Consider the following 9,444-nt stretch of genomic DNA (forward strand, 5'->3'; position numbering starts at 1 on the left):
ACACCCAGGAAACACCAGCCACGGTTGTGTGTGTGACTGAGGCTCGGTGTTCATGCATTTCCTCTTAAGCGGGGAAGACGCCTAGGGAGAGCAGTGAAGGCAGAAGAATGGGTCATCTCGTCAGTTTCATACCTGGGAAGATGAGCATCATCAGTGCGGAATGGAAAAGACTTTAGTTTTAGGAGCAGGGGCTTGGATTGCAGACCTGAAGTTGCCATTGACATGTCCTTGTTTGATGGGAGGATGTACATCTTGAAACAGTTCCAGGCCAGCAAAGAACAGTTTGTGGGGGCAGTCACCCAGAGACGCCAGAGGTCTTTGCTTTTCTGTGGGGTTTTGTTACAAGATAAAGTGTCCATGTTCTTGGAGTGTTGACCCAAGAACCGAACAAAATGCACACACAAAGTAACAAAAGAATGAAGCAATGAAAGACAAAGCAACAGAAGAACGGAGCGACAAAAGCACAGATTTATTGAGGATAATTCACAGAGCGGGAGCCGGCTCGAGCAAGCAGTCAAGAGCCTCCTTAATTAGGGTTTTTACTAAGCTCGAGGAACCTGGCAACACCCCTCCGTGCCCTTTAGAGGCCTCCAATTGGCTACACCCCATGAAGGATTGGCCTGCGACCCGTCAGAGGCTGCAGTGGAGACCCAGCTTGCAGTCCATCAGAGGCTGCAGTGGAGACCCAGCTTGCAGTCCATCAGAGGCTGCAGTGGAGACCCAGCTTGCAGTCCATCAGAGGCTGCAGTGGAGACCCAGCTTGCAGTCCATCAGAGGCTGCAGTGGAGACCCAGCTTGCAGCCCATCAGAGGCTGGAGTGGAGACCCAACTTGCAGCCCATCAGAGGCTGCAGTGGAGACCCAGCTTGCAGTCCATCAGAGGCTGGAGTGGAGACCCAGCTTGCAGGCCATCAGAGGCTGCAGTGGAGACCCAGCTTGCAGTCCATCAGAGGCTGCAGTGGAGACCCAGCTTGCAGTCCATCAGAGGCTGCAGTGGAGACCCAGCTTGCAGTCCATCAGAGGCTGCAGTGGAGACCCAGCTTGCAGCCCATCAGAGGCTGGAGTGGAGACCCAACTTGCAGCCCATCAGAGGCTGCAGTGGAGACCCAGCTTGCAGTCCATCAGAGGCTGCAGTGGAGACCCAGCTTGCAGGCCATCAGAGGCTGCAGTGGAGACCCAGCTTGCAGTCCATCAGAGGCTGGAGTGGAGACCCAGCTTGCAGTCCATCAGAGGCTGCAGTGGAGACCCAGCTTGTAGTCCATCAGAGGCTGCAGTGGAGACCCAGCTTGCAGTCCATCAGAGGCTGGAGTGGAGACCCAGCTTGCAGTCCATCAGAGGCTGCAGTGGAGACCCAGCTTGCAGGCCATCAGAGGCTGCAGTGGAGACCCAGCTTGCAGTCCATCAGAGGCTGGAGTGGAGACCCAGCTTGCAGTCCATCAGAGGCTGCAGTGGAGACCCAGCTTGCAGTCCATCAGAGGCTGCAGTGGAGACCCAGCTTGCAGTCCATCAGAGGCTGGAGTGGAGACCCAGCTTGCAGTCCATCAGAGGCTGCAGTGGAGACCCAGCTTGCAGGCCATCAGAGGCTGCAGTGGAGACCCAGCTTGCAGTCCATCAGAGGCTGGAGTGGAGACCCAGCTTGCAGTCCATCAGAGGCTGCAGTGGAGACCCAGCTTGCAGTCCATCAGAGGCCAGAGTGGCTTGTTACCATGGGCGGGAGGACGTGGCCTCTATGCAGCCCCTACTGCTCTCCTATTTATACAAACTGGCGGCACCTGCTGTTCTTTTGCTTATGTGAACTGGCTGCATATGCTGAACCCCCGTTTACTCTAACTCCCTGTTCTCCTGCCACAGTTTGTTGAGTGTGGAATGCTTGGACCCCAGCTTGTAAAGTAACCTTTGTTTCTTTGGGAAAATGCTGGTGGTGTTTTGTGACTCGGTCTCTAGAAGTTAGGGGTTCTGAGATTTCTTTTCATTTTCCTTTACACTCCTCATGACCAAAGTGCTGAAAGAGGCAAGCACAATGATGTATTCACCTTATGTCATGGGAGGTCCCCGCTGTAGGGAGTAAGCTCTTTGCACAGTGACAGGAGGCTCATGACCGGTATGTTCCCAGGTCATGGACTTAGGGTCCTCAGTTGGTCTACTACCAGCACAGCTTGGGTTCTGCAGTCCTTCAGTCCCATAATGGGGACCCAGCGGGGTCCTAGTTCTCTTCTGCCAGCCTGGAGCCCAGGACTGGTGGTGGAAAGGGTGCAAAGAGGAGAAAACATGTCCTCTGAATGCCTTCCCGTCATGATTTTCCAGCTAGCCTCCCGTGAATCTCAGCCCAGGGCTGCTGGCTCCCAGCCTGGCCCTGTCTTGCTTACCGTCTGTGTCTGTTCTCTGAAAAATAGCATCCTTGCAGATGTGAAGCCTCAGTTATTCTGATCCCTACTGTTTCTCCAGCCTCTAGAGCAGTAGGCTTTCAGGAAACGGTGGAAGAGCGTTGATTGATGAAAGAATGGAGTGCTACTCACACAGAGAGGTTGTTTCTTATCGCCTGCCCCACAGCCTAGATGAGAATTGCCTGTGAGTCTCCCTCACAGCCCTGGTGACCCTCTTCAAGGCAAGGACTATCATTTCTAATTATATGTTTGTTTCACGTCCCTCCCCACCCTCCGCCCCAGGTGCAAAGTCCTTGGGGGCAGGCACTGCCTCTCCTTTCTCTACCCTGTCCCCAGCATCATAAATGTGGATTGCTGGGCCAGCAGACTGCAGGGCTCAGGATGTGTTTGTGGAAGGAAGGAAGGAAGGAAGGAAGGAAGGAAGGAAGGAAGAAAGGAAGCAAAGAGGGAGGAAGGTGGAGGAGGGAGGACGGAAGAAGCTGTTAGATGTACCTTTGGCAGTCTCAAAAATCTCACATAGTAAATACTTTTGTTTCTGGAAATTGAACATGAAGGATGGGAGACGCCCCCAACACAGACAGTCATTTCACAGTGTCGACTTTTTGACAGCCTGAAGAAGTTTGCAACTCTTAGGTCCATAAGCTGTGAGACATGCCTTGGGCCCAGGAGAAGGACAGGGGAAGGTTCAGTGGTGTTTTGGGCTCTGTTTGGGAACGTTCCCTTGCAACACCGCAGCCTACCCACGCTCCGGCTCTTCAAGCGCTCAGGTTCCAGGCTTTGCCAGCTGCTTCAGAGGAAGACAACAGCAACTGACTGCCTTTCTTTCTGGTTTCACCTTTCAAAGCACAGAATTTATTTTCAAGATCTCACTCCTTAAGTGCAAGTTTGAAGATGGAGGAAAGGAGCTGTGCGTACAGAGTGGGGAGTTTCTCACACTGCCTTTCACAGGCTGCGCTCCCTGAGGTAACACAAGGAACATCCTTGAGACAGTCTCTGTGTGCAGTCAAAATACATAAAAGGCGGTGGCAGTGCAGAATGCACTGTGCATGCACGTGCACACATACATAGGCACACAGATGCACTCATACACGTGTGCATGCAGGTACACATATGCATGCACTACACATATACCCGCATGCACACACGTATGCAAGCATCATGCACATACCATACCCAGAGACACAGAGCATTGAATGCTCTTAATTCAATGCCCAGAGACACAGAGAGATGAAATGATGGGTCTGGGAGAGTGTGGGAGTTTGGCAGAGTGTCAGTTTGGAAAAAACGAAGGGGTTCAGTAACTGTGAGGTAGCAGGAAGCCAGATCTGGAAGGGATGAGAATCCTGCCAGGACGCTTGGGAGGCCAGTGGACAGGACACAATGGCTTCTCTGTCCAAACAGACACATCCAGGACATGCTGACCCATCAATCAGACAGCCTCGCCCTCCCAAGACCCACATAAGGGCTGTGCTAATTTCAGTGCATCTTTGTCTAAGCCTGACCCAGAGGAGGCCGTGTCCATGCCTCAGCACAGAGGCCAGCCCATCTTCTGCTCAGGACCTCTGTTCAGCCTCTCCTACTCCCTCTCCCTGGGATGCTCAGTGTCTCCAGGCCCAGGTGGGACATCACTGCCCAGCGCCTGACACCAACGCCGCCAAACACAATCTCAGACCCACTTTCTTATTCCACAGGCACAACAAACCAGCAATGAAAGAAATTAGACCTATTCAGTGTCAATACAATGACCTTATCATTTGATGTCTCTTTTTTTTTTTCAGTAAAATTGAGTGTGGAATGTAAACCAAAAATAAAACTCTAAGGTTCCCCAGTTATCTGAATAGAATTCTTCCTAGGCCAGGGCCCTCTTAAAATTTAACCTGAGAGACTGGTTCAGGCCATGACAGGGAGTGGGGGTTGGACCTGCCTCATTATACTCTCCAGCATTAAAATCGACACAGACCATAAGTCTGATAAGAAACACTTATAATCTATTCTCTCTAAAGCCTACTACCTGAAGCCTTCATCTTCATAATAAGAACTTTGACCTCCATAATTCCTTATCTTAACTCAGACATTTCCTTTCTATTGATCGCAGGTCTTTACATAAACTTAACCAATAGCCAGTCAGAAAATTTTTAAATCTACCTATAACCTGGACCCTCGCCACCACCCACGCCCCCGCCCTCCCCACACTTCACCTTCCTTGACCAAACCAATGTACTTCTTAAATGTGTGTGATTGAAGTCTCATGTCTCCCTAAAATGCATAAAACCAAGCCACACCCCTACCACCTTGAGCACATGTTCTCAAGATCTCCTGAGGGCTGTGTCATGGGCCATGGTCACTCCTATATGGTTCAGAAAGAATCTCTTCAAATATTTTAGAATTTGGTTCTTTTCATCAACGGGACTAAACAGAATTGACAGCTGAGGTTTGGCAATGGAGCTGGAGAAGTGTATGTGCAAAAAAAAGAGAAAGTGGTACAAATTGTATAATATGAAAGACTTTTCTTTATAGGCACAAAAGATAAAACCATACATTTAGTTCAATGTGTAATCATTTGTGCAGTCTAGAGATTTAATATTGAGGCTGAAAATGAGCATGTCAATCCCAGGCCTTGCTGTGTATTTTTCATAATTTATTTAATAAAATAATATTTTTAAAATCACTCATATTATATTCATCTATAACAAACATAATGAGATTGGTAGAGAGTCATTCAAGTAACATGGGAGATAGATTTTTATTATAAGATTTTGATGCCATTTTAGAACAAAAGGAAGAGAGAGGACAGAGAACACAAGAGAAAGTGAGAGGAGAACACAAGAAATCAGGACACAGAGTGGAAAGGATAGGCAGAGACTGGCAGGCATTTGAAAAGCAAAGACAGGTTCCAGGAAGAGGCAGGAAGAGGTTAGGTCCTTCCAGATCAGGACCATGCCAGGCATACCATCTGTTCTTTATCCCACTTTAAACAATATCTGGCATATACTTTGTGCTAAAAGTATTTGCTGACTTGAATCGAGTCTGAGGTGTAAACCAAAAATAAAATCTCTAAGCCCTCCATCAGACCGAATGAATGGGTCCACCCTCTGGGCCAAGGGAATTACAAAGAAACCGAAAAAACTGAATTCCAGGCCATGAAGGAAGACAGGTCAGACATGCCTCATTATACCCCCTCTTTTTTTGGAGTTTAGGCAAAACTTACCAGCATTAACATTAAAATAGACATCCTTATATGGATGAAACAGACCCTTTGGCAGTAAGATGCCAAATTCCAACTTGACTCTGGTATAGCATCACACGACAGCAGACCCTGAAAGAAACTGACACACTTTACTTCAAAATATATTTATCTGATATATTTTGAAATGGCCCTGCAAAGCCTTTTGTGGGGTAAAGTTTTGCATCTTTAGAATCTCTTTCCCTTTCTAGGTCTTTGCCACGTCTAGAGGAGATTTAATTGAGTTGGACTGTATTTAAAATCTGAAAAGAGACATTGACCATCTATTCTCTCAGAAGAATACTACCTAGAGGCTTCATCTACATAACAAGAACCTTGGCTTCCACAACCTTCCTTTTCTTAACTCAAGCATGTCTTTCTACTGTCTTTAGACAAAGCTAAATTCTTTCAACCAAATGCTGATCAGAAAATCCTTGAATTCACCTATTACCTGTAAGTCCCCACTTTGAAATATTTCACATCTTTGGGCCTACCAATGTATACCTTACATGTGTTACTGGAAAGAGGTCAGGGTCCAGACTCCAAGGGAGGGTTCTTGGATGTTGTGCAAGAAAGAATTCGGGGTGCGTCCATACAGTAAAGTGAAAGCAAAGGAATAAAGAATAGCTACATCATAGGCAGAGCAGCTTCGAGGGCTGCTGGTTGCCCATTTTTATGGTTATTTCTTGATGATATATTAAACAAGGGGTGGATTATTCGTGACTCCCATTTTAGGCCATATAGGGTAACTTCCTGATATTGCCATGGCATTTGTAAACTGTCCTGGTGCTAGTGGGAGTGTAGCAGTGAAGACCAGAGATCACTCTCGTTGCCATCTTGGTTTTCGGGGGTTTTCACCAGCTTCTTTACTGCAACCTGTGTTATCAGCAAGGTCTGTATGACCTGCATCTCCGGCCAACCTCCTATCTCATCTTGTGAAGTTAAGAATACCTAACCTCCTGGGAATGCAGCCCAGTAGGTCTCACTCTTATTTTACCATGCCCCTATTCAGATGGAGTCTCTCTGGTTCAAACACCTCTGACACATGTATTGATTTATGTCTTTGTCTGTAACTTTTGTCTCCACAAAAAGTATAAACCAAGCTGTAATCCAACCACCTCACTTTCTCCAGACCTTCTAAGACTGTTCCCTTGACCATGGTCACTCATATTGGTTAAGAATAAATCTCTAAATATTTTTCAGAGTTTGGCTTTTTCATCAACAGAGGAATCAGATGAGATGGAGGGGGGGAGTTAAGCTGTATATGGATATATAGACATGAGGGAGAATGAGGAAATCAAAGTAGATGACAGCAAATGGGGAGTTGAGGAATAGAAAAAGATCAATGGAGTGAGAGAGGAGAGGGAGAATGAGGAAGAGAGGGAAAGAAGAGGGAAGAAAAGAACTTCAGAGCCTGTGTGCCTGGTAAAGTGATTCACAAAGTAGAACAGTCCCCCAAAACTGAGGTTAGCTCAGGCCCCATGGAGTACTCAGAACCTGGCTGTGGGAACATGTTTACTATTAGGTTAGACCAGGAACCAGGGTCATTCCCATCAAGCCTCAGAATAACCTGAAATAAATGTTTCTCTAGCTTAGACACAGGGCCAGGACAGGATCTCTGCATTTTATAGCTCTGGAATATCCACCTGGGATAATTATGCATAGAAACTGTTTTCCAGAAACTTTAGGCCAGATCATGGGAAGAGAACTGATCACCGATAAACAGAGTAGGTCAATGCCCCATGGCCCACGTGGTGAGGTCTGCCCTACTCTGCGTAGATGAAACCATGTTGGGGCTCAGGATTATATAGGTATTAACAAGGGAGCTCCAGGGTTGGCACCACAGTGAAGACAGATGACAATTGGACAGCCCTTCTTTATAATCTAATGATTGGGGGCCAGGGACAGGTATATATCAAATGTAGTGGTGAGCTAAATAATAGCTTACACAGGTATCAGGTCCTAATCTCTGGAATGTGTAGTTGTTCCCCGATGTAGAGAAAGGGTCTTTGGGAATGTGTTTAAGGATTCTGTGGTGGAGCAATAGCTCTGATTATCGAGGTGTACCTTAAATGGAATCACAAGTGCTACTGTAAGAGAGAGACAGAGGGTGGCTTAACTGGCAGAAGATGTGAAACTGAAGGAGTGCAGAGAACTTCACCCCAAAATAGTGGTCCCTGATGTAATGTGCATTTTTAATTAAAGACCTTCAGAGATCAACAGAGGCTGGAGGAGAATTTTCTCTGTCTACATAGAGACCAGAGGGAGTATCCAAGGAGAACAACTGTCTTTCCTTCCTCTCTCTGTTAGCTCATTATCTATTACAGAAAACAGGACCAAGAGTGTAACCACTCCAGGACAGACTTTCACAAGATAATGTCTGTCTCTCAGTCTCAGTCAATTTTCAAAGAGCATCATTTACAAGTGAATCCCTGTTCCCTGATCTATTTATTCTCTTCTTTAATCATGTATCACCCTGTAATTACCTACATTCCCATCTCCTCTTCCCCTCTGAAATAGGGCTATACAAGTATCTGGGCCCCATTGAATATGGGACAATCACTCTGTGGCTCTCCCCCAAGCACCTATTAATAAATGTTCATGCCTTTCCTCCAATTAATCTGCCTTTTGTCAGTTTATTTACCAGCAAGCCTTCAGAGGGTGAAGGGGACGTGTTGCCTTGGCCCCGGCACGACTACAGAGGCACAGATTGCAGTGAGGCAGCTGCAGCCGAGTGCTGGCAGCCACCTGAAGTCAGGAGAGCCAAGGGCCGGTGCTCCCCAAAGCCTCCAGAAGGAGTGCAGCTCTCCCCAAATACCTCAATTTTAGCCCCGTGAAGGTGCTTGGAACTCAGGCCAGCTCTACTGTGGGAATTGTTTTAAACCACCACGTTGGTAGTAATTTGTTACAACAGCCACAGAAAAAATACAGACGCTCACCAGGTCTAAGTCCGTAACAAGTGCTTCCCATGGATTCCATAATTGTTGGCATGACTGAGATTGTAGCTTCTAGTATCCCCATTACTTATTTTAAGAAAACATAGGATAAAAATATGCTGTATTACTTACCCAAGGTACCTAGTAGGGGGCCTAGAGTGGGACAAATCGAGTGTGCAAGTGAGTGTGCAAGTGAAACGGCCTCATTGTCTGGGGCGATACCCTGGAAATCACTGTCTCATGGCTGAGAAACTAAAGGGTACAGACACACGAAGAGTGAGGTTGAGAGTGGATGTTTAACAGGTGAAAGGAGGAGGACGGCTCCCTGCAGCAGAGAAGGGTCCCGAAGAAATGAGCTGCTGGAGCCGTGGTGAAATGTAGGAGGTTTTATAGATGTCTGGTGAGGGGGTGGTATTTGACTTACATAGAGCACAAAAGATTGGCTGGACCAGGTGTGCCATTTGCATGGGGTGTGAAAAACTGGTTAGGACTAGGTGTGCCATTTGCATAGGGTGCGAATTTTTGGCCACCCCCATCCTAATCACTCATTAAGCAGGCAGGTCCTCTGCTGTGGCAGCACCATGTTGCCCATTCCTTTACTGTACACACAGTGACAAAAAAAGGGAAGATGGAGCCTCAACGTTGGACGTGCCTGACCCCCAGGTAGCCATTTTCTATTGGCACAGCTGCTGGCATTTCCCATGCAAGCTTCCAGCTTGCTTGTCTATGTTTGCAGCTCAACTTTTCAGGCTGCCCTTTGTTAGAAAAAAAAATAATTTCTTGGGCTGCTTTTTGTTAAAAGGGAAGCTCTGTCAAAGACTCTTTTACCCTCACTATCTGCCTAAATAATTTCTTTCTACCTCCTGTATCACAAGGCAACTCTCTCCACGTCTCTTTATGTC

General features: G+C 47.1%; 1 long non-coding RNA gene across 1 annotated transcript; it reads left to right on the plus strand.

Moving 5' to 3' along the window:
• Positions 1-460: 460 nt before the first annotated feature.
• Positions 461-1,908, plus strand: LOC100507548 (uncharacterized). The gene has a single exon (NR_135050.1). It is a non-coding gene; the product is annotated as an uncharacterized LOC100507548 (long non-coding RNA).
• Positions 1,909-9,444: the final 7,536 nt, after the last annotated feature.

Source organism: Homo sapiens, chromosome 11 (assembly GCF_000001405.40).
Source record: "Homo sapiens chromosome 11, GRCh38.p14 Primary Assembly".
Classification (NCBI taxonomy): Eukaryota; Metazoa; Chordata; class Mammalia; order Primates; family Hominidae; genus Homo; species Homo sapiens.